Below are 25,496 nucleotides of genomic sequence, written 5' to 3'. Positions count from 1 at the left end.
CAATAGGTGTTCAATAAATGTTTATCCAATTTAAATGAATGAAACTCATCTATGGGTCATTCAACCTCGCAAGCCTCTACTTGAAAACATTGCAAAGTAGCAGTTGATTAGTTTAATCTCACCGTTTTACAGGCACCCTCATTAATGGTATATTCCAAAAACACAAACAGAGGACTAACTACACTGATACACTGATAAACAAATTTGTTGCCTAAAGATATGTGTTGCTTTTGTTGTGAAATTTACCAGTACCTAAGGCACTAATGAACGGCAGAAGTAATGTTAATGCTTGCCTATACCCCAAAGCAAACAGTCAAATTATAAAGGGAAAGTTTATCCTTTTAGATTGTGGTCACACAGTGTATTCCCTAGAGTAATGTAAATTTTATTCATTTTCTCCTTACTCAAGACTAAGTCAAAGGTTCTATAAACCGTTCCTATTTTTCTTTAGAATAAAAAAGTACTATGAATAAAGTTCTCTTAAACTGAGATGTTCAAAATTTAAGTCAATAGATGTTAAACAGAATCGTATGTCTTCTCTTCTTTGCTTATTTAGATACTAGCAACTGTTAATGACTAGAATATTTATATACTGTCATCACTTATGAGAGACTCACTGGCACAATGTAAATTCAATCAGGTCTTAGAAATGTAGTGTTTATTAATTCCATGAAGTTAACAATAAAGATTTTAAGTCTTAAGTTTGTTTTTTTTGTTTTTTTTTTTTTTGTTTTTTGAGACGGATTCTTGCTCTGTCACCCAGGCTGGAGTGCAGTGGCGTGATCTTGGCTCACTGCAACCTCCGCCTCCAGGGTTCAAGCGATTCTCCTGCCTCAGCCTCCTGAGTAGCTGGGACTACAGGCGCGCGCAACCACGCCCGGCTAATTTTTTGTATTTTTAGTAGAGATGGGATTTCATCATGTTGGCCTGGATGGTCTCAATCTCCTGACCTCATTTATGACAAATGTCAACAAATGCTGTTAACAAAACCTTAAAATTTATGACTCATATCTACAATATGGGCAATTTCCAGCAATGTGATGTTAATTTTATCAAACATCTATAAAGCAAGACTAAATTTTAGACTAGATTAAAATTGTTTGTATGTGGTTTACTAATTGCAGGCAGTTCCCTTACATCTTTTCTTATTATAATTCTAGTTATTTGAGAAAATATCCAATACATTCAAATAGCATACCTTTTAAAAGTAATAACCAACTTTTTACAAAAGAAATACATCTTTTAAAAAACCCTATAGATATGATTAGCCTTGTCACCTGTCCTAGCACACCTGAAGGTTATAACATACTTCTATAGTAATCATGGATCATTACTCTAAAAAATGTTACTCCCCAGAGAACATTCAAAAAGCTATCCTCACAAACAGTGTTAGGACTCTGATGCTTCAATTTTATTATGGAAACTGATTTTATTTCATCCAATACAGCAATCTTTATCCTGTCAAATGAACTTACACATACAGTACTTTGAGAAACATATTAAATATACTGAAATACGTGTAGGCCTTGAACTATGCATCTATTACCCATTCAATATAGACTTGTTCAAATCCTTTATTTTAAAGTGTCTTGATCCTTACTTCTACTTAATTTAATTTGGATACCTTTAACTTACGTGGAATACATTAACTAGCTCCGATAGAAAACGTTTTAGGCCGGGTACAGTGGCTCACGCCTATAATCCCAGCACTTTGGGAGGCCGAGGCGGGTGGATCACCTGAGGTCAGGAGTTCGAGACCAGACTGGCCAACAAGAAGAAACCCTGTCTCTACTAAAAATACAAAAAAAAAAAAAAAAAAAAAAAAATAGCCGGGCCTGGTGGTGTATATCTGTAGTCCCAGCTACTCAGGAGGCTGAGGCAAGAGAATCGCCTGAACTGGGGAGGCGGAGCTTGCAGTGAGCTGAGACTGCACCACCGCACTCCAGCCTCGGCTACACAGCGGGACTCCGTCTCAAAAAATAATAATAATAATAATAATAAAATAAAATAAAGAAAATGTGTATAATCCTATGAATTCTTTTTTACCTCTTATATACTGTTATGTCCTAAGTGTTAATTAATGACATTTAAAAATATCAAAATAGACTATTTCTATAGTCATATGTTCCCCATTGATATGCATAGATTTTGACTACTTCTCAAAATAGCATCAAAACCTTCTAGATTAAAAAAATGCTGTAAAAAGATGAGATTTCCTTTTAACCATCTACAATCTTCAGTACTTGGCACAAGATTATTGAATTAATGATGATAACTCTTTGTATCTAAGCATTCAAAATAAATACATGATTAGCACTTTATCAATTTCATACGTGATTGAATAAATTTTCATTCAAATTAGTTCCAATTTGCCAATGGCAAAACCCTCATTCTTACTCTATCACATTGCTGTTTTCAAGATATAAAATGAATTCAAAATATAAGCACAGGATTATTTAAATGTCTTTTCCTGAGCTTAACTTTTGTTTTCGTTTGTTACTTTTGAGTAGCTAACCTGTATTGACTGACATATTGGAAAATATAATCTTGTCAAACAGAACATACAAAAAAAGTATTTTTTTTTTCAAAGACAAAGTTTCACAGGAAAACTGGTAAAATAACTGACGCTCATTTAGGAAGCTTATATAAAAATGGAAATTATGGAAATTCAATTTTACTCATTTCTTTCTAGTATATATAAAGGAAATTACATAATTATTTTTGGAATTTGATGGTAGATTCATGAAAACGACAAGTTTAGTTATCTCCATTTGTGTGAAGCCAGGTTGAAATGATACACAATTCATTTCTTAAGCCTATGTAACTTTTAGAGTAATATTTTGTTTCTCCACTTGGGCAATGTTTTAGTTTATTTAACATATCACAGAAAAAAGCTAATAATATAAGTGACATTAAAGTTTTAAGTAGAAAAGTTCACTTTTAACAGAAATCATATTAATAGTTTTAAAAATGATAGCTGATCTAAGGATAACATAATTAAATGTGAGTAATTAAAGTTAATTATACAGTCATAAATAAATTGTTTATTTCATTCTACTTAAGATTTTCTTCTTTGGAAAGAATAAACCAGGCTTTCTCCACAGAAATTTAGATTTTTACATTCTAAATTTAAATATATTTTAGAAAAGTATTTAGCTCTCTTATTTATAGGACTGAATAAGAAAGATGTCCAATTAAAACTACTAGAAATGAAAAAAGATGTTCTTAACTTTTATCAGCTAAGAAATTATACAACAGAGTTATTACTTATGTAGTTCTTTATTCCCATTTCTTATCTTTCAAGATTTTCTCTTTGGTAAATTAAAATAACGTTTGACATAAAAATTCTAGTGTTAAATGAATTGATCTTTGTTTTTATTTGAATGAGTTTGCGTGTAGTAGCTGCCAGTAGGACAGTACTCAGACTATCACTTCAGTTCTACAGAAATAATCCCCTTCCTTATCCCTTGATGAAAACGAAAATATTCCTTCTTAAAGAAATGTGCAATTATGAAAAGGGGATTCAAAAATTGGAGTGAACAAATGATTCTGCATTCCATATTAACTGTATAGTTTCCTTTATCCAGGATATAAGTAGAAAATGCCCTACTAAATTTCCCACACCTTTTCTCCCTGGCTAATGATAAATATCAAAATAAATTTTAATTTTCATCATAAGCCAGGATAAAAATGTTATCCTCCCTTAGTCTATTTTCTAAAAACTACAGCCACTTACATTGATGGCAAAGGAATATTATTTTCAGATAATTGTGATGAAATTTTCTCTTCTAAGATGTATTTCCATTCTTAATGATGACAGCTTATAATTATGTCTTACAACTCAAGAGATCTGATTCCATGGTGGAGTTATAAAGTTCCATTTAAAGTCAGTATCAGTCCAGCCAGGTGCAGTGGCTCATGCCTATAATCCCAACACTTTGGGAGGTCGAGGCGGGTGGATCACCTGAGGCCAGCAGTTTGAGACCATCCTGGCCAACATGGTGAAACCCCGTCTCTACTAAAAATATAAAAAAATTAGTCGGGTGTAGTGGCAGGCGCCTGTAATCCCAGCTACTCAGGAGGCTGAGACAGGAGAATTGCTTGAACCTGCGAGGCAGAGGTTGCATTGAGCTGACATCGTGCCAATGCACTCCAGCCTGGGCAACAAGAGCAAAACTCCATCTCAAAAAAAAAGTCAGTATCAGTCCAAAGAAACAACAAAAAGGTGGGTAAAGGTCAGTGAAACATAATTTTATAAACTGCATGCATATATATGTATATCAACATTTCTCTAGAATTTCCTGCTCTTACCTTCAACATTATATTGAAATGTATTTAAATTTATGCAATATTGTTTAAAGGAACTAGATTTTACATGATTTAGGCTCACTCCCAAATGATTTCAGATAGTTTTGCTGTAGAGTCAATTTTTAAAAAACACAATGTAATTCTTCAGGATTTATCACTCTATTTGACTTTATAAAAGTGATAGTTGTGACCAAAACAGCTGTAATAAAATGAAAATACAGATGTAATTACTTTCATCATTGATAAGTACAAATATATTGTGCCCAATCTCAGACACAAATTAGTTGGCCACTGAGATACAATTGGTACCATTCCAATTTGTGTCTCATAAATGAAAACTATCAATAAACATTCAGCTGTGGATCTAAGGACCCTTATAGTTCTAATCTGTTGGCCAGACAAATCAAGTCTAAATCACATCTTGACACTTTGCCTTTAAGTCAGTCTTGTTGCTGCTCCAATTCTCCTTTGAATCATTAATCCAAAAATTGTATTATTGCCTTGTTTGTTGGACCAAGTTTCGGTCAAAAATCAGATAGGTAATATGAGTATACGGGGTGTATGTTCCAGTTTATCTGTAATTACATTTAATAACTTGCATTCTGGCTCCTTGAAGATCTTGACCTCAAAGTCCTGTAGTTGAGCCCTACTGCTGTGGCCGCTCTTTTGGATGTGGCTTACCCATTTTTCTCAACTGTTATCTATTTCCTATTACCAAACTGCCCTATTGGAGTTGTTACCCATCCGCTGCTGGCTCCTGGTGAAGCTGTCTCTTGGAATACCTTTACAGAGGCTACTTTCCACCTGGACTACATATTGCTCATGTCACTAGGTCTGCCTAATTTCTGAGACTGACTGCTTTGCTGACACTATTCCTTTGCTCAAATTAAACCACAGAACTGACTCAAACTCTGGCTTTCTCCTGAGTTGAGTTTTGCTTAGTTATATACTCTATTAGTTCTAAACATTAGATGAATAAGGAGTAAAAGTAATAGGTATTTTTTTTTTTGAGATGGAGTCTCTCTCTGTCACATTGGCTGGAGCACAGCGGCATGATCTCAGCTCACTGCAACTTCTGCCACCTGGGTTCAAGCGATTCTCCTGCCTCAGCCTCCCAAGTAGCTGGGATTACAGGCCCCCACCACCGTGCCCAGCTAATTTTTGTATTTTTAGTAGAGACGGGGTTTTGCCACATTGGCCAGGCTGGTCTTGAACTCCTGACCTCAGGTGATCTGCCCACCTCGGCCTCCCAAAGTGCTGGGATTACAGGCATGAGCCATTGCACCCGGCCAACAATATGTACTTTTTATTCTAAATCTAGTGCACCATGTCCTTTCTTTGACTTGCTAATTAACAAAAGGAACCTCAGATTTAATGTTGCAAATATACATTTTTTTATAGTAAGATAACATTGTGTGATCAATGGTGACTTATCCTCCTACCTTTTAAGTGTCTTGCTGATTTTACTCCATTTTGTCTTCAAAACGAAGATAATGTTGAACAAACTAAACAATGTTAGTTTTCAGTAGTTATGTGAAATGATTTGATCATCTGTTGCTTATATAAATTATTTAATGCTATTCTAATGATAGAAACTGGCTATGGAATGTAGTAACCCTGTGTTTCTTGGTGTTGAAATATTCAAGTATAACATGTTACTTCTGTGAGTGGTAAATGTTAAATTCTGCCAGAGCAGTCAAAATGCACATAATTTTAACATACATTAAGACATAATTTCTTATCATGTAAATTACCTTCACATAAAGGAATATTCTGAAATAACAGTTGACTTTATGTAAGTCTCTTTATTTATTAAATGCCTCTGGTCACCAACATATATCCACTTCCCAAGTCCTATGTTGAAAGCTGAAATTAAAATACCATAGCAGTACATAAGATCTTCATTTTTTTTTCCCTGGTACTGAAAGTAGGAAAAAGTTAACACTGAAGCATTATTCCTTCTTTAACAATTCAGTAATCATTTTTTGACCGTTAGAGAAAGGAAATTTTTAAGGCTCAACTAGTGTTAGTGCAAATGAAGTTGTATGTTCTAACAAAGTACCTTCTTTAGATATAAAACAGAAGCAGTAAGCTACAATACTGTCAGCTAAAAGTTTTCTGACACACTTTGCCTAAATTGTGGGAATTCACACCACGGATGTCAGATATCATCTGTATAGTTCTATAAAAATCCTTCAAAACCCTATAGGAACCCACAAATTTCCACAATTGGCACGGTGGGGATATAACACTTTTTAGCTAAAGGCACTGTATCTCTGGGAGGATCTTTTTATTAAGAGGAACTGGAATGAGTTGTAAGTGCCACATATGGGGACTGGAATAATGTAAAAAAGAACAGCAGCTACTGATCCACACTTGTAGCACTTAAAAAAAAAGATGAGATGATAAAGAGCTGGCATAATCATAAGTTCCGTACAATCACTTTGGAAAGAGATCTCAAAGCTAACTAGCAAAGTTAATCAAAAAGTTTAGAGATTAAATAAAAATGGAATTAAATCAGAAGAAAAATTGTAAGAGGACCAGAAATGTTAGAAAAAAATAAAGTTGACTGAAAAATTGTTAATTAAAAAATCTATGAAAACATATGTGAGGCAAAAAAAAAGCTTTCATGTTTAGAGTTTTGCAATGCAACATAATGATCCAAAACATCAGCAAAAATAGTACAGGCTTAACAGGAATGAAAACAATGAGAAAGAGCATTCCATTTGCTCAAGTTGTCAGTCACTTCCAACTGCTTTCCTCTGAAATACAGAGCCACTCCAATTTCAAATGCTTTTGTCCACAGAGAGATCTAAGATCTGCAGGGATTTTATATAAAATATCAGCAACCAAAGATGTAGGGCCTGCAAATTCTACATGTGCCTACAAATAGCAATTTAAATTTTAAGGCAGCCAAAGAGAATAGAAGGAAGAAATGTAATATTATATACTTATGTTTTCATTATGTTTTATGACAATTCAAAGTTTAGATTTTCAATACTGTTTAATCCAGTGGGGGTCTAGGAGCACCTTTTAGCTATCTATGGGGCAAAATATTATCAACAGGAGAGGCCAAAGTATAATATTGAAATGATTTAACAACTGAGGTTATGAAGAAGAAGAGGATGTCGTAAAGATGACTGGGGTATGTGATGTATACAAAGTTCTGGAGCATGTTGAATAGGTATTTGACATGCAAATTTTAAAAAAATCTTATGATCTCTATTGCAATTCTGAAATAATACTACATTACTCATTTTATATGACACCTCAGCCTTTTATTTTCTTCTCCTAAGGGTTTGCCTTCTAAGGACACAATAAATTAATTTTCTTATATTATATCCAATATATTAACGTTCTATATAAAAGATTTTTAACTTTCAAGCTTCAGATAATTGCTTTACTAACAGGAGAAAATAATAATCACCTACAACGAATATAGAATATTTAGCAAGCAAAACTTTGAAATGACATAGAGGCTAAGAGGAGTCACGAATGACATATAAGAAAGGATCTGAAAACTCAACAGTAGGAGACTCTAATAATCAGAAAGGGGAATGACATGACAATGGGAGGCTTTGTGAGTAAAGCACTCCATACAAAACCAGCTAGGGAAGAATATTTATTTTGATCTCTAGACACAACATTTGAAAATATAAAAATGGGAATCTCATTTAACATTTTATACGAGGAAGAACAGCAAATCTGAACCAACTTATTGAGAATGAGGAGAAACAATTACTTAATACAAAAAGAAACAACTGAGTAGAACTAAACATGGTGGGTACATCATTAAATTCCACTTCTTGCCTTAGGTTGGGAAGTAGACAGGAAATGGATTGATTGTATCAGTATGCGTTCATCTTCCAAGTCTAGTCTACATGTTTTCTTCTCTTGTCATTCACTTAAGTCCAACACATGAGAGAAGACAGTAAGTTCAAATTATTTCTGCTTAAAGACAGCATCAATCCTAACCTTTTAAACATTTCTAGAGGTAAATGTCTATATAAAATAGGAAGCTAGTCATTTTTAATTCATATTCTATATAACTCTGAAAAAGGGAATATTGGCATTCAGGTGCATAAGGGAACAATATTATAAATTGTAATGATACTCAGCTCGGACACTTAAAGTATCGTTTTCCTTTATTCATACCATGGATGTTTCTAGGACTCTTTGAACAGCAATAGAAAATAAAAATGTTTTAAAAGTGAAGTACTTGCTTTGAATCAATAAGTAGTTGAGTCAAAACAGTCAAAGAAGTTTCAAAAAATTATTATGTAGAATCTATACAATGTCGCCTGGCTTTAACCTTTCCTACTTTTTGCTGAAATCCCCTTAAACATTCATCTGATTTATATTGCCTAAATTTTGATAATTGTTTTCAATCTTTCAACAATGTAAATAAAATTTAACAAGGTTGAGATGATAATCATGAATGAGGTGAAGGGGCCTCATTCTACTCAAAGTGGAAAGCCACTTTTTACTCACGTAAATTGGAATGGTTATAAAATACATATTAATTAAATAATTAAAACTAAAAATAAAACTTAAAAAGTATAGTCTACCAATATTTAGAAAATTTTCCTAGCTCCCACATAAAAATGAACATTATATTTACTCATCTGTTCTTCCTAAAATCTCTTTTGTTCTCCTTCTTCAAGATTCTAGGAGAACCCTGGATTTTATACTCCTGTAAGTATGACTTTGTGAAGTCAAACCATTTCTAATTAACTGTAATCTCCAATTTGATTCTTCATAATCAGTATCATACTTTTACTGAATGCTTACTTGACATAGTAGAATGTGCTAGGGGTTTCTTATACTATAATTTGTCTAAAACATAATCTGTCTTTAAGGGACTTGTCATTAAGGTAGGGATATCTGCAAAATGAACACAGATGTATGCATAAACACACGTGCATGTGTGTGTGCACACACACTCACACATGTACACAAAGTATTAGTCCAAAATAGTGGTATAAGAAGCAAGCTCTTTAGAAGTGTGGAGCAGAGTGCATGGTCCTGATAGTAAAATTCCTTGGGAAACCCTCTTGGAAAAAAATAGGACTAGTCCTGTAAGGAAAGGTAGAATTTAGGTAAGAGAGTAGAGGGGAACCAGAAAAGGGAAAGGGCAGAAATTCAAATAGTGTGAGCGAAATAAATGCATTAATTTGGAAGAGGCCTTTATTCAGGACACTGAATAAAGCGAAAACTGGAGTGGAAGAAAAGGGTTAAAATATGGAGTATGGAATATAAATGATAATTTGGCATCTCTTGTTCTCCACAATTTATAAGAAGCACCAGACCATATCTATTTCACTCTTCTAATGCTTCAAAAAACATCTTCTCTATCAACCTCAGGTATATATTCATATTCTACCACGTAGAATTTTACTATAATGGAGTTGAATTAAAAGACTAATCAAAAAAATCATCAGTGTTTTCTCCTGAATCTAATGATATTTAGGTTCTTAGATTCCCCAAGTAAAATGCTGAATTCTTCATCTTCCCTTTTGAACCTGCTTCTTGTGTCCTCTATTTCTCTTTGCAGACTTTTAAAGTGGCTATGAATTTTCCCAATTTTCATCTTTGTCCCTAGCATTCAGTTGGTTGTCTTGTTCCAGTATTTCTTTTCACAGCACTTCTTATACGGATTCTTTGCTCTCCACTCCTAGTCTTGTATTTATGTTAGATATTACATACTGCAAGAATTAATTTTCTGCTTCCAGTCTCTCCCAATTTCAGAATATTCTCCTATACATGAGTTTCATTAAGTCATGGTTCATTCAGTACACTTTTAGATTACTGTTTCTAATGCATAGCTCTGATCGTGTCAAAGTCAAGCTGATAACAGTAACAAGCTGTATACTGACTGAAACAAACACCATAGCTTGATATTTAAGTCACTCAGCAGTCTGGTCCCACTTCCTATATTCTAAATTCTGTATTCCCTTATGTATTCTAAATTCCTTTCAAAACTAATACTCAATGTTTTCAAGACATATATGATATGTCCCTGATTCTGGGTTGGTGTTGTTCTATTTGAGTTGTTCATTGCCTAAAACTTCAGATAACTAGGTAACTTCAGATACCTAAATATAGGTAATGTGCTACCTATAATAAGTCCTTGTGTCATATTGTTTCACTTTTTATTTTTAGAGACAGATAGAGTCTCACTCTGTGGTGCAGGCTGGAGTTCCATGCCATGATCATAGCTTACTGTAACCTCGAAATCCCTAGGCTCAAGCTTTCCTCCTGCCTGAGCCTCCTGAGTAGCTAGGACTGTATACAGGCACACACCACACCCAACTAATTTTTAAAATTATTTTTGTAGATACAGGGTCTCACTATGTTGTCCAGGCTGGTCTTGAACTCCTGGCCTCAAGCAATCCTCCTGCCCTCCCCTCCCAAAATGCTGGGATTACTGGCATAAGCCACCATGCCTGGCCTCATGTTGTTTCAGTTTTATGGATCTGCTTACTTTATGAATTATAAGAGAAGAAAGAAGGAGAAGAAAATGGATTGTCAATGACTAACCACAAACTTACAGAGTGCCTTAAAATGCAAAATACAAAAATATTTTCATATTGTTTATAGACTCATTTTTAGTAACAGTGAGGTATTACAGGAAGTAATATAAATCAGTACCTATTTACACAGCACTATGAGAGACACAAGGAGCAATTATTATGTTCCAGGCACTCATTTCTTTGCAAGAATCTTATGAAATAAGAAGCATTATATTATTACTTACCTCATTTTCAGCTGAGAAAGCTGAGGAAAGAAATATTAAGTAACGTGCTCAATCCCACTTGGCTATTAACTATTGAATCTGGAATTGGAACCCTGACAGTCTGGCATTACAACCTATGTTCTGATACCACTAGGCCCTATTTCCTCTTGTTTACAATTGCATCAGCACAACTACCCCCCTCTAAAACAACAAGTAACATGACTTCATTTTAGGAGATATAAGTATGCTGTGTAAATGTCTTATAAAAATTATTTCACTTCTGTTTAATTTCCAAAGTATTTTGAAATGCACTCAATTATATACAACCAAATTTTGACTGAGAGAATTATATCAATATTTCTTCCTTTGCCTAATAAAATACATAACATGGTTTAAGTACAAGCATCTTAGAACTTTATAAAGGTGAAGATAGAGAATACTGAAATATTTCATAAATATTTGACATCTATTATGCAAAAACCTAATGACAGCAGCAGAAACAGATTTAAGAATGAATATTGACTCAATATTCTGCAAGATAATTAAAATTTTGATTATAATTGATGTAACTTAGAAAAAGGGACAATTTACACCCCTTTTAATTTTTATTTTTTCTGAAATCTATTTTCAACAAGCTTTCCTTTTATCTATGGAAAATAAACATAAGTATTTTTCAAATGCACTAATTCATATAAGCATAAAATGTGTTATATATTAACTATGAACATTTTAACTTTATAAACCCATAGCAGCAATATACTGGACATTATATGTATAATTTTTAGGTGTTATCTAATACATACTAATATTTCTCTGAAATATTTCATAAACTTTAATAATAAAATGAAAAATCTGAAGTAGCAATTGCCAAACGAAAACCAATACCCATCTAACAATGCTACAATTTAGCCCAATTATTATTTCAGGTTCTGAAATATAATGTTTAATAAACTATTTAGCATACTCAGGAGAACTGCTGAAAGTAAAAGGCCGCAAGCTACCCACTGCATGGCTGATAGGATAAAGCGGGGATATAAAAACTTTTGTCTGATTGCTCACTTTCCTTGTTTTAGAATACTGCTACTCTCAAGAGCATATATTCATGTTCTTTCTACTTTGAGTTTTATTACTTCTTTTGTATTATTTAATACATCTAAAGACACTTCCAAAAGACAAATTTTTCCATTTTGAAGAAGTAATGGTTCGGAACCTGATAAAACACATTAATGTTCACAGTGTGTTTTTTTGCAAAGGTGATAGAGTAAAAGTGCTATAAAGCAATTAGACATATGCTCTTAAAGACATTAATATGTCAAACAGAATAAAATGTTTAAAAAGACAACAAAAATAATACCCTGTGAAAGGTCAAGTGAAAATGGGTACATATAAAGAGTATATTTCTCTTTCAGACCTTTTACTAGATATTGAATGGAAAAATAAAGGAAGACAATATAAAAATAAGAGAAAGGACTAATCTTACCTCAATAACTTGTAATTAGAAGTATGTGACGTTTAATTCTAGGAAGTATAGACATGAGTTACAACTCATCCTGACAGCTAAATGGTGTACACACTTCATTATTCAGATTCAAATTTTTTTCCTCTGAATTCTGAGTTCTACCACGGTCAATACATTTTAGTAAACAAGACACTAATATGCTTGACACTATTGAAAAAAGCCAGGCATTTTTTAAAGTGTCATACACATTTCTGAAATCCACAATACATCAATTTTTAATACTTCTACTCTCTCAGCTCCATTAAAAAGATGGTAGGGGAAAGATTTTAGAGTAATTAATGATATAGTTAGCTGCTAAATATTAATAGGAATCGTAGTCTTGCATAAAATATAACTTATAAACCTTGCCAATACAGACGCACCAGTAATTAAAGTTGAATATATAATTACACTGATTTATAAGACAGGCAAAAAGTTACACTTTACTAGCTTCTATGTAAACTGTGGGTAACAGTTAAACTTTGCATTTTACGGTTTATAAAAACGGGCAATATCTTGACTACAGTTCATAAATGGTTTAGAGACCTGTAACAGTAGTAAAAATTATAACAACTTATTCCATCATGAATATTCTTATTGCACCATACAAACCAACCTGTGATAATGACCCATAAGATGTAGATTCATCTTAGACACTGCTTTATGCCCAAGAGAACATTAGTAGTACTAAGAATCTGTAGAGGACTGCTGGAACAATAATGATATGGCATTTGAGATCATCTAAAAAATGTATTAAAACCGATTTTGATAAACTTTGTCATATTATGAACGTGGTATAATTTAACTCCACTTAAATTTGTATTTTCAACTTATACAACAGTAAAAACTTCGGAAAAATTCTAAATTTAAGAAGCATATTAATATAGATTCTTCCCTTTAGAGAGTCTGTTAACCACACTTACATGTGCGGCTGAGGTGAGCAGCCCGGACTACTGTTTCCATTGCTGTCAATGTGATCCAGAGAACCATTGAGGTCTTCGTGGACGGCCTGCAGTAGGCCACTGGATGCATTATTTATCAGTCCAGGATTACTTAGCAAAGGTAAACTGCTCTCTGCCAAGGCAGCCTAGTGAAATGAAGATTGTGTAAAACAACTTTCAAAATGGCATTTAAAATAATTTTTAAAACATGTATCTTCTTTTAATGGGTTCCAATAAGGAAATAGATATTTTAGAAGGATTAAAAGAAAATGTATTGAAAAAAAATTCCTAACTGGCTACTTGTGGCAGAGATGCAAGGAAATTAAGTGCGATGTGAAAATATAAACAATCGTCCTTGCAGCAAACTTTCTCACTCATGTTTCAACCTTTGGCATAATGAAATGTTGAATCCACACATGTAATGAAATACTCCAGTTTAATATAAGCAGTTGCTCTGCTTTTTAAAAATGACCAGAACTTAACTCAAAATAAAGAAGTCCTGACATTTGCCTCCTCTGCATAAAAATTATATATTATAATTAAACTTTAAAGTTTTTGCCACAAGCACCATGTTCCCCAACACTATGATGTGAAATCATTTATGACAGCCTGGATAAATATTAATGCATAGCCACATGCACTTGCAAAAGCTTCTATCAATCTAGCATTTGCAGAAAAACCGAATGTTCCAGATTTTGCCACAGGGTGTCCTTCTTGCTTCTTCACATCAAAAGTAGCTTGAATTAGAACCAGTGCTGTCTATAGTACTAGGTACTACAACTTGGATGATAAACCAACTATTAAGAACAATCACAATCTCACCTAAATACAAAGACATGCCAAAAAAAAAAAAAAAGCCCTAAACATTCAAATACAACAAAACTGGGAAAGTACATTACCTGCAAACTGGCATTAAGAGCTGCTCCATAGCCTAAACTGGTAGGTATATTTTTTACTAAGGTTGGACTTCTGAAAAAAAAAATATATAAAGATCATTTATACGTCAAAATATAAAACGTGGATATCAATAGTCTCAGCTATAAAGGTATGTTCTGGCTTGTCTCACACTAATAGTCCATACTGGATGTATATAAGGCCACAAAAATAAGGTAATAGAGTTCAAATATATAACCCTTTACATAATACATATTAACTTGATCCAGGAATATAAGAAATGAAACTTTAGACTATGGTGTGCAGGCAAAGTGAGACATGACCTTGAGGATCCTTAAACCTGTTTCTAGTTGTGTGAAGGTTTCATTTGCAAGAACAGCAACATTCATACAAAATTTTTAAAATGTAAATATACAATACAATTACCAATTTGATGCAATCAGGAAATAATTAATGGTTAATTTCTAGAACACCATGAATTAACATAACAAATTACCATAGTTAATTAAATGACAACATAATAGATTAACTATTTCTTGAATGCAGATATTAGCACATACTTGACTATAGAAATCAAAAGTCAAGGGCCAATAGTAGATAAAATACATTAAAGTCATCTCTTCATATTAGGCAGTAGAAGTTTGGGGGAATAAGTAAATTCTACATGGAGTTAATTAAGCACAAAATGTGTTTTACTATATTTTGGACTTAAGTTTGGCAGTCTTGTTCTCTATAAAACAAACAAAATTCAAACTTCCCAGCCAGTAATTTTCTCACACTAGTATACCTTGGTCATCTCAACAGCACTGTACAGAAAACCATCACAGTTGGAGTAAAAGCAAGGTAGGTCCAAATGATAAAGTTTGTCTTGGAAAATGAGAGTATTTGAGAAAGAAATAGCCTTATTTTTTTATAAAGTCTTCTCATAAATTCTTCATAAAAAGGTACTTTCAGGATTACCAGTATATGCAAAATTAGCCTCATTTTTAAAAAGCCTTTTAGCTTCTACTGGAAGCTACTGTATTGTATAAAAACAGGAAGTGTCTCTCTCTCTCTAGAAAGCATGTTCCATCTTGAAAAACAATTTTTTGATACACGTAGAAATGCTGAATTGATGAAAATAGTAACCAAAACAGTCCTGTGATGATTTTTACGGAAAAAATTGATAGGCTACTGTTGATTTATGCCACCTACACCTAGATTCAAAATGCAGTTCATTGCCACGAGAATGTTAGCATGCCATTAAGCTAACTGTCTCCCCACCCCAGCCCCAACTTAAAGTATTTACTTTTCCTGGTGGATGCAGGATACAGGATTACAAAACTATCACAAACATACCCTGTTATCTTTTGTGACCTTCGCTTCTGGTATTCTACTTCATCCACAGTCCATACTGCTCCTTTAACATTTTCTACTCGAACAAAACACTTGTGCAGGCTAAGATTATGACGTACTGCATTCTAAAGCAGACAGAAGAGAAGAAAAAATGGCAAAAATAATATTGTCTAATAAGGCAGCCCAACATACTACATTATTGATCTTACTTAATCAGAGTGAAAAATCTTAACATGTTTAAGTATTAAAATCAAAATATGGCATGATATTACAAACCTCAAACTTACAAATTACTGGAATCTGCAGTTTGAACTTTGTGATAAGAGAACCTTCCAAGCTATTTTAATAATAGCTGTGTCAAAACCTTCCTTTCATTGAACTGGTCTAAATTGCAATATCTGTACAAATTACAGTATCTTTGAAAATGCCAGAACAATTAGGTCAGCTCTGTTGTGTCCCTGATCAAGCACTCAGGGATGGTTGAAATGTCCAAAGGAACCAGTCCTGCTTGAGGTATTAAAATGCTAAAAAGGCTACAGTGACAAGTGTTAATTTTGCACAAAGCTTTATGCAAATAAGCTCAAAGGCATTCTTTTCATCCCTATAATAATGAAATGACAGAGTTTGTTTATTCTGTATTATTAGATGACATATGCAAGTTACAGTGTAACGTTCTGCCTGCACAATAAGACACACTTAGATTTTTTTTAAATTCCCAATAAAGTTTTTGTAAATGTTAAACTCAACTGAAAGTCGTTGCTGGAACCCGAGAGTACATTTTCTTCCCATAATGATTATGCAAACAGATGTTGTTGGCAGCTTTGTATTAGAGTAATTACTCAAAATTAACATTTTTAAATCAAATTAAGTCATTCCTAAAATTTTAGCTATAATAAATATACAGTAGACCACATAATTTACATCGAGTATTTTCCATAATTCAAATTATAAACCTAAGCAAATATTTCTTCCTGTCAAGGTACATTGGCATATAGCTATCAAGTACTCAGAAATGACCTAATTCTTATATTACGAATATAAAACAAAGTAATTTTGATGAAGATTTCTTTCTATTTGCACAAAGACAAGCTGCTTCTAGCTTGCTTTAAGAGAAGAATTCTTAAAAAAAAAAAAAAAGCATAAGCAGATCTAGCATCTGACCTGAAATCCAAGGATTTGATTGATCTTAATGCCCATGGCTCTGAATATGATAATTTTAATATTAATGAGCAAATGAGCAGTTTTATTATGCATGCGATATAGTTAGAACTAATAAGCTGTTCAGAATGAGTTTTGCTGGATCCCCGAGCTGTGGAGATGAGACCAAGCTAAGATATTAAATCATCTTTCATTTCTTTTAAAATTTCTTTCAGTAAATCAAATGACAGAACATTCACTACATTATCTAATGAGTAACAAAAGAAAATGTAAATCTTCAACATAAATATTACTTACTGAAAACCCTCCAAAACATATATTGCACAGATTATTGCTGACATTTTCATCATATAAAATATATACCAAGTAACTGTGCATAAATAAAACAATTACATTCATTTACAGTACCACATACTGTAGCAACTAATAACATCTAAACATTTTGTAAATTAAAAGCATTCTGAGTCTCACACCCATATATCTGTAATCGCTTGCCAGATTAATTTGCATTTTAAATCCAAATTAATTCACTTTAGCATATCTCACAGTCTAAAATTCTCAGTATGCTGATGAGTGCTTTGCTGCTTCTATTCTTCTCAGCTACAAACATTTTCCCCTTTTGTACCAAATGGCTTGTGGCTAATTGATGTTTCTGACTGCTTTTTGAAATGAAAATAAAACAGTTCACTTAGTCTGTGCTGAGTGCCCTTATCTTTCCAGACGTTGCTCTTTTCCAAAAATAGATGCATAGAACTAACATTTTTTTTAGCTCCTTGTAAGATTCAGACAATGAAGTTGTTTGGACAGGGATATAGATGAACCCTTTTGTCTAAGTAAATAAACTGCATTTATGTTCTGACAGGATAATATTCACTTTACTTTCTTTTAGTTCCAGCTGAGTAGCCATGGCCCTCACTCCCGTGGCAGCTTCAGTCTGTATGATGAGGTATGATGTGTACAAAAGGCGCAGACCAAGACAAAACCTACAGCCTCCATTTGTTGCACAAGCCAAACAGACATTTTTCAAACTAATTAGCCAATAATATGCAAGAGAAAAAGTAATATCGTGCGACTAACAAAGGTGTTGATGATTGAGTGCTCACACTGTAATTAGTGTGTCAGGCCCTCGTTTCTCTGCCAAGCCTCAGCTATTAATTGCACCAAATTAGAAAACTATATCAGAGGCAAAATTATTCTTTCACTTGTCATTTTGAGAGAGGGAATTCATTCCATTCAAGAGGCAGGTTAAAAAGAGGGGAAGCAGATACTAATCTGCTTATGTCATGTAAATAAATGTTCCTTGTGCTATCTGTAAGGAACTGTGGTAGGCATCTTAAAACTGCTGGAAAAGTAGTTACCTTCCAAGTTGCTGCATTACGCCTGAAGTAAGCAAATGTCCGTGTAAACCAGCTGTAAATTTCATTAAGTGTTAACTGCCTGTCAGATGACTCCATGATAGCCTGAAATGAGACAAGATACATAGTGACATAAAATAATGGTTTACTAACTAGACTAGATGACACTTTCTCATCCAAGCCTTACTTTAAGCATTAATGAATTTTAATTTAATCAGGCAAAGTTAATTTTCCTTCTACTTACCTGCCTTATGAGAGTTGCATAAGTAAATGGAGGTCTGACATCTGCATTTTTATAAAATTCATAGTTTGGGGCAATTTCTATAAAAATAAAAACTAGGTGTTAATTCTGCTAATAATTCACATTATATATAATTGAATTTTCATATTTCCTCTAGTATTGGTAAAGTGATTCAGTGAGGAAGCCACCGACTAGTGAAAGCACAAAGCATGACAGTGGAATTGAATTATATGGAAAAGGCCATTTCTGACGCGAAGTGCAAATGAAGCATCCCCTAGTTGTTCGTGGTACTTCAGGAACTGTGCGACCTGCTGGCCTGAGGATTTTTTTCCAATAGCCAGGTCTTCTTTAAAGTGGGTAGTTTAGGCATATTCTTACATGGACTTTTGCCCCCCTGCTATAATCTTTGCTTCTCTCATCTAATACGTCTTAAAGTACAACAGGCTCACCTCTGCATCTGTGGCCATCTAACAAAGGAAACACAAAACCCTCACCAAGCACCCATGTTGAAAATAACTTCACTTTTTGTAAAGAGGGGGCTCTGGGCTAATAATGGTTACAATGTGTGACTGTGATTATCCAGATGCCCCAGGGATGGCAGGTGGGGGAGAAGGGAGAAGGGAGAAGGGTAAGAGAGGGAAAGAAGGTAAATTTGTGTTCCATGCAAATGCAAAGTTTGCCTCTCACAATGCTTCTTAAGCAAAGTGCCATATCGGCATTAGGAGCTGTGACAGGATTTCATTTAGGTAGCACCTTGATAAAGACTGATTCATGTAAACCTCGAACTGTCTTGCATAAAGCAACGGTGTTTCGTATATGTCCTTTAAAATGGCTCTTCTCTACAGCATTACTCACAGATGTTGGATTGCTAGTCTTCCCTCAGAGATCAAAGGATCTCATTGAATTGAGGTGATAATATGGGCTATCCTGACATCTCTCAGTGTCTCTAATGGGGAGAGCTTTCTTTCCTGAACAACCATTCAGAACAATTCATCATGATGTGCTTAGGGAATCGCCCCTATTCGCATTTACCAGGAATAAAACAATTATCACTCCATAAATCATGACATGAGTTTCCATGTGCTCTGGAATGGCTCATGTACAGTTGATTCAGCTACAGTTTTCCTCTCCCAAAGTAAAAGTGCTCTACTGAGCATTCATATCCTACCTGATGACATGGGAATGTTGTATTTGTCTGAATGTCGCCTTCGTATGGCTCCCACATTGGGCACACTGGCTGGGGTGATTACTGAGGGTCCCTGGGTAATCGGGGTGACTGGGGCCGTTGGTGTGGTAGGGGTTTGAGGTAAGCTCTGTGGGGATGTCTCCAACATATTCTTCGACATGGTGACACTAGACACCAGATTTAGCTGCAAAGGCCCAAGAGAAGGGCAGGAAAAAGGTAGAGACAAGAGAAAAAGACTTAAAAAGGTTTGACAAATGAGAGTGGATTCACTTCTACAGCTGTGTTGCCACTAATAAGCTGCAAAAGGAAGCAGCCAATCTCAACTAATTACAGGATGAAATTGTATCATAAGAACTCTAATTAGAGGATTCTGTTAGAGGTTATCTAATAATCTACTGCAATGTTACTTAGGACTAACTCCTTCTTGTCCTACCAGACTTCAGCGAAAGTCTATTTCCTTAAATAAAAGCCAGTTGCTGATTATCGACTGCCCCTGTTGTTAAACAGGTCTAGCCCCCAGTGAAGCAACAACAACAGCAATAATGAAGGATGCAATGTTTTTAACCAATAGGATTTAAAGTAAGTTGCTATTCTGTTGATGCCAGAATTTTTTTTTTCGTAGTCCCAAATCTCAGCTGAGAGGCTCCAGCCAGCTGGAAAATTTTACACTGACCTTTAGTCTCCTTGCTAATTTGGTGGAATGGTAATGACATTACTACATATTCAAACAAAATTGTCTTAATTGCAAATTAGCCGGAGGAGGCTGAAAATTTTCAAATTAAATCTGATTGGAGATGGAGAGAGGGAAATGGAATTTCCTCACTAACAATCATTTGTGGCATGTGTTAACAAATATAATGAAATGTCAAGTTTGCCAATTCCTCTGGAAGTATCATTTTCAATTTATGATTACAGTGTCACTTAATGCTGATGTACCCTGGAAAGTGGGTGTCAGGGTAGAAAAAAGAAAAAAGGTGAGAATGTATGCAAGCTGTTTAACAGTGTGCCCTTCATTACTCCCCTCAGAAAGGCCCTGTTCTTCATTATCAAAAAACTCATATCACCTCTGTCATATTTACCACACATCTTTTGTCATAAATAGCATCCAATTAGCAAAATTTTTACGCAGGGCAGCACATAAAAAGATTTCTGCCATACATTTAAATGGTATTCACAAGAGGTAATCTGTGGTCCTTTTTACTTTATACAGTAGGCTATACAACCAAGCAAGAAAACTAATTCTAATTGTTCTGTTTCTCTATAAAGTAACTGCTGAGTGGCTAAATAGAGAATATTCAGCTTTTGTTTATAATTTAGTAACACCTGTCTTTTTAAATCCCAAATACACTTCTTAAGATAAACCTTTTTTTAATGGGGAGAAAATGATGTGTACAGCATTGATTGATCTTTCTTTGTGGATTTGTTTTACACATTTAGTCAGTAGAGAGATTTGTTAGGGAAACAAAAATTAACATATGCCAGCTAATTGTTCTTCTTTCTTGGGCAGCAGCCAGAAGAAGCACATTAGCAGTCTAATAATAACGACTGGCACCCTGAAGGCATCCCCAAGTGCATCTGTTCCCAATAAACCACAAACTGTTATTCTGTTCATACTCTAAGCCAGCAGACTGGGTAGGGAATTCTTTGTTACGTACATAAATGAAAGCTGAGATAATGCTCCTAAATGCTGCATTTAATACATTTACAAAGCCACTGGTGTAAGCTTCTCTGGGATGTACAAGAGCACCTCTGCATAGTTTGAGAAACGCAGAAACATCCATATGCATCTGTATGTGACTTTGCAAATATTCTAAAATATCAACATCAGAACATATACATAACAATGTTATATTTAGAAAATATCAGCATTACATACTTGTATGTTAAAAATATGAAAAGAAAAGAAAAGTATTTCCCCATACATAAAAAAAAAAAACTCAGCTGGATGGTTACATATTCACTTTTAGAATTGCAAACCAGAACAAAATGGCACATTCAGAACCCAGAAAATACCAAATTGCAAATCAATGAAATATCTATCCTGATGAATATGTGACAGGACTCTGTACATTTTACCAACACATTAAAAGTTATCAAAACAGGAGAAATACATCTTTTTCAATGCAAACCACTCATGTTTACAATGTTACGGTAACTTATTCTGCTATCCTGTAATAATAAGCATACCATGTTTGTAGGCGTACAATCACAAACTGATAAAATAGAATTTATTATTAACTAAAGGGAAGCATGTAAAAGCTAGGATGAGCACTTAGCCACCTCGACTCATCTGAATATAGTCAAGGTTGGGTGAAACTCATTATTCAGGACTCGCAGCCTTGATAACTTTGATTTTCATCCATCCATAGCATGGCCAAAAGGTACCATTTAATGAAGTACCATTCAGAGAGTAAATGGGGTCATATAATAGACAGTGCGGTTGCACCTTGTGTTCATGTACTGATAGCTGTTAAGGGTGCAGTGATGAACCAACAGAGCTCATTTCTCCTTGGTAATAAATTCATGCTATTAATATTTATCAAATGTGTGGGCCGTCTCAACTGAGCCACTGCACATGAGACCATAAATCTCTACTATCATATCAATTTTGAAGCTTCTTTTGTACAGTGTATAAATTTTAGGGTTTTTTTGAGGGTTGTGAGTATTGACCACTCTTCTTTCAAACCGATCTGAGGCCAATAGTGCAGTTCCTCACTTCAGATATCGCTAGTTCCAAAGGGAACTTTAAACTGTGGTTTCATTTTAAATCGCTCATCTAAGATTCTGTATTAATTGCCCACCATCAAACGCAATTAGCAATTCTTTCATGTGTGGTTTATGTAATGTAATACTTCAATTACATTATTCATTCAGGTTCTGTTTTGGATTATAGGCTGAAAATTCTTTATTAGTGTAGATGTAACCATGCTGCTGGAGTTTTAAAAAATTTACTGATTGAATAATTAATTGGAAAAGAACAAGCTGCAGATTCCTGATGGATTTATGAGACAATTATTCTGTCTTGTGATTATCTACATTATACTATAGAAGCAATGAGGGAAAAAATCTTATTGAAAAGATAGTCATAAATACATGATCAAAAATATCCTCAAAAGTTTATTTTTTAATTAAAAACTCAGACATTTTAGAGTTTAAAAAGTAGTATGTCAGATTCAAAAAGATACATGTCTTTTTTCTTCCTATAAAAATGTTTTTACAGTACTCTACCTTTAAATACAGTACAAAGGAAAAGCAGAAATAGCTTAGCAGAGTTTAAATATAATCTCTACCAAAAAAGTAAATTTTGAATGATATTAATTGATAAGAAATATCGAGACATTACGAGAAAATTAGACAATATAGTCGTCTTCTGTCTCCTCCCCAACTACAAAGCCAAATGTTCGTTTTTTACCTAAAGAAATAGAGGGAGAGGCAAGACTGGCAATCATTAATCATCAGGCTATACAGGGGCCTTATTAAAAAGTATCCCACAAACTTTCATTAAACTAGAGTTACCCAGTTGATTACTCTAAGTTTCTGTGCAAACATCAGCTGAATGAGATAAAGTATATTCTTTTCAACAGTCTGTGTATCTGACTACATTATTAGGTTGAGCTTAAATCTCATATATTTTTGAGGGAAACTAGTCTTAATTTTCTATAATCACCCACTTCTTTTTGTGATAAGCTCTCTAAATTAACATTATGTATAATGTACAATAAAACATATCAATATGTGAAATACATCTTAACTGAAATAACCAAAGAAATAGGACAAAATTGGCTATAAAAATACCATGACCTTTATGACAAAATATTTGATAAAAATCTATTTATATGTATCTTATGATTGATCTGCCTTCTTCAGCACACCACATACATTTCTATTTGTGATTTGTACGTTACTACTTTTCAGGTTGCTCAAAGAGGGTTTCCTTTTAATATCTGTAAACCTATCACAGAAAGAAATTCTCTCTGGCTTCAGCCCCAAGGCAGTGATTTGTGCACTGATAGGTGTACTTTGTTTAGTGTCACCCATGGTGTAGATTGGATAGATTTTGTAAAAGATAGCATTACTTTAAAAGAAACATACAATTTGACAAGCGATTACATTTTACTTTCATTTTATTGCCGTATTTTTCATCACACTCATTGTTTTCTAACTGTCACTAAATTGTTCATTTTCTTAGTCTGTTACATTGGTAGAGCTATTTACTGTTTATAAAGCAATATGCACTTACAGGTTTGGGAGATGGTTTGGGCTCTGAGGGTCGCATGTGCAAGTGGGTCATCATTGCTTGAAGACGTTCGCGTTCTTTAGAAAGCTGTTAAGAAAGAGTGAGATCAGAAGCGTTTTAGAAATGACTGATACAGCTATTTTATTGCAGTGATACATCTTATCATTGAGCTTGCCTCAGAATAATGATTCCTGCATGTAAAAGTCTGCGTCAGGAGGAACTTATCTGGGAGGAAATGCAACTTTAGCTATGGAGGGGGAAAAACTTTTATAGCTTTTCTTATGTTAAAAGGTCAGAGAAAACAAATAACACTTCATCTTTTTGTCAATAAGAGAATTGAGGTCACAGTTGCCTCGACAGTAACAAGTTACTGAAACCATAAATTAGAAGGCCCATGGTGTCTCTTTAAAGTCCTGTGGACACTGTTAGCAATGGACTAGTGCCAACAGCTGTGAAGGGGTGAAGGGTTCTCAAAGCAAAGTGCCTGCCAGGATTGTCTACACACTTCATGCATTCCCACTGAGGTCCAGTTAGTGCCCCCTGCAATCTGCCATCATCAATCTAATTCAATAGAGTGACAGAGACCAGGCAGTGTGAAACGCTGAACTCTGCCACGGAGTCGGCATCTACACTTGCACTGGGTCTCATTACAACTGACGGACCTTACTTTTCCATCAGTCAGACACAGCAGAAGGAAAAAAAAAAAATAGGCGTAATTGGTCACACCGAAGACTGTATCATCAGCTGAACTCTTATGTTTTAGTCTACCTTTTATAAATGGTAAACAGGTTTATAAAAAGCTTTTTAAACTTTAACAGTGATGGTGCTTTTTGTGTTCTTGATTATTTTACAAGTCAAAACAAAATATTTTTAGTAAGCTCTCTGAAAAAAGCAATGACACGAATTTGAAACAAGATGTAATAAAATATGAAGAAAAATCGTATCTTTAAATGAAACAAAGTATTAGTTTCATTGAGAAAAGATCATCTTTAAGATGAAATGTTAGAGAAAGCCTTAAAGGCTTAGTAAAACATAACAAGAGTCAGACTTTGGGTGACATAATTGCTTTCTGATTAGTTCTATGGATTCTATTTACTTCTGGCCAAATTCTGTTTCAACATTAATAGAATTTTTTTTAACTTAAAACAGTCGCATTTGATACAACATGTGTGTATTATCATCTGTGATATAAATTATCTGCCTTTAATCTAGCTAAAGAAAAGTATAAAGATTTTTTTGCAAGTTCTTTAATTAAAATTACACTAGAAAAAGAAAAGAAAAGGTTATCTTTCAGGGTGTTAGTTATATTACAGGCATGATATTGTAAAGACTGGTCATTTGCCACAATATAAAATCTCATGGAAAAAAATCAAGGTTAGCTCATGTAAAAACTCTCTCTGTAATAAAATCATATCTAATTGGGAGTTTGGTCTAACCTGCATTGGGAAAAACTTAGATCTGACTACTTTGGGATATTCAAATTCATATGATGTGGTCTAAAAGTTATAAAAATATAAGTGATAAGTACATTAAACTACAGCAATCCTTCCTGGGTTATCAATAATTGCCACTGTTTAAAACAATCTAAAATATCATGTATCTCCATT

The 25,496-nt window shown here is 34.0% G+C and overlaps 1 protein-coding gene and 1 non-coding gene across 9 annotated transcripts in view, besides 2 other annotated features; both read right to left on the bottom strand.

The window, feature by feature from the left end:
• Window positions 1-25,496, bottom strand: part of FOXP2 (forkhead box P2) — a 607,439-nt gene that overhangs the window by 15,864 nt on the left and 566,079 nt on the right. For 5 of the 8 annotated variants that reach the window (NR_033767.2, NM_148898.4, NM_148900.4 and 2 more), the window contains 7 exons: window positions 23,893-23,976; window positions 19,635-19,836; window positions 18,470-18,546; window positions 18,229-18,330; window positions 15,716-15,837; window positions 14,383-14,452; window positions 13,466-13,629 (listed from right to left, as the gene is read on the bottom strand). Coding sequence is in view for 6 of the 8 variants with exons in the window: in NM_148898.4 (NP_683696.2) it covers window positions 13,466-13,629; window positions 14,383-14,452; window positions 15,716-15,837; window positions 18,229-18,330; window positions 18,470-18,546; window positions 19,635-19,836; window positions 23,893-23,976 (821 nt within the window). In the remaining 2 variants the exon portion in view is untranslated. Of the gene's footprint in view, window positions 1-13,465; window positions 13,630-14,382; window positions 14,453-15,715; window positions 15,838-18,228; window positions 18,331-18,469; window positions 18,547-19,634; window positions 19,837-23,758; window positions 23,977-25,496 lie in introns of those variants that run through there. The other 3 variants (NM_001172767.2, NM_148899.3, NR_033766.2) reach the window with 2 other exon arrangements.
• Window positions 15,879-18,246: an enhancer, noted in NCBI's record as "VISTA enhancer hs956". NCBI's record gives its function as "enhancer in: midbrain (mesencephalon)[3/7] | forebrain[6/7]" and the evidence as "EXISTENCE:transgenic organism evidence [ECO:0001131][PMID:17130149]".
• Window positions 21,584-22,848: an enhancer, noted in NCBI's record as "VISTA enhancer hs222". NCBI's record gives its function as "enhancer in: heart[3/6]" and the evidence as "EXISTENCE:transgenic organism evidence [ECO:0001131][PMID:17130149]".
• On the bottom strand, window positions 24,447-24,557 carry MIR3666 (microRNA 3666). The gene has a single exon (NR_037439.1). It is a non-coding gene; the product is annotated as a microRNA 3666 (primary transcript).

Source organism: Homo sapiens, chromosome 7 (assembly GCF_000001405.40).
Source record: "Homo sapiens chromosome 7, GRCh38.p14 Primary Assembly".
NCBI classification, from domain to species: domain Eukaryota; kingdom Metazoa; phylum Chordata; class Mammalia; order Primates; family Hominidae; genus Homo; species Homo sapiens.
This window is presented reverse-complemented; position numbering and strand designations above follow the sequence as displayed.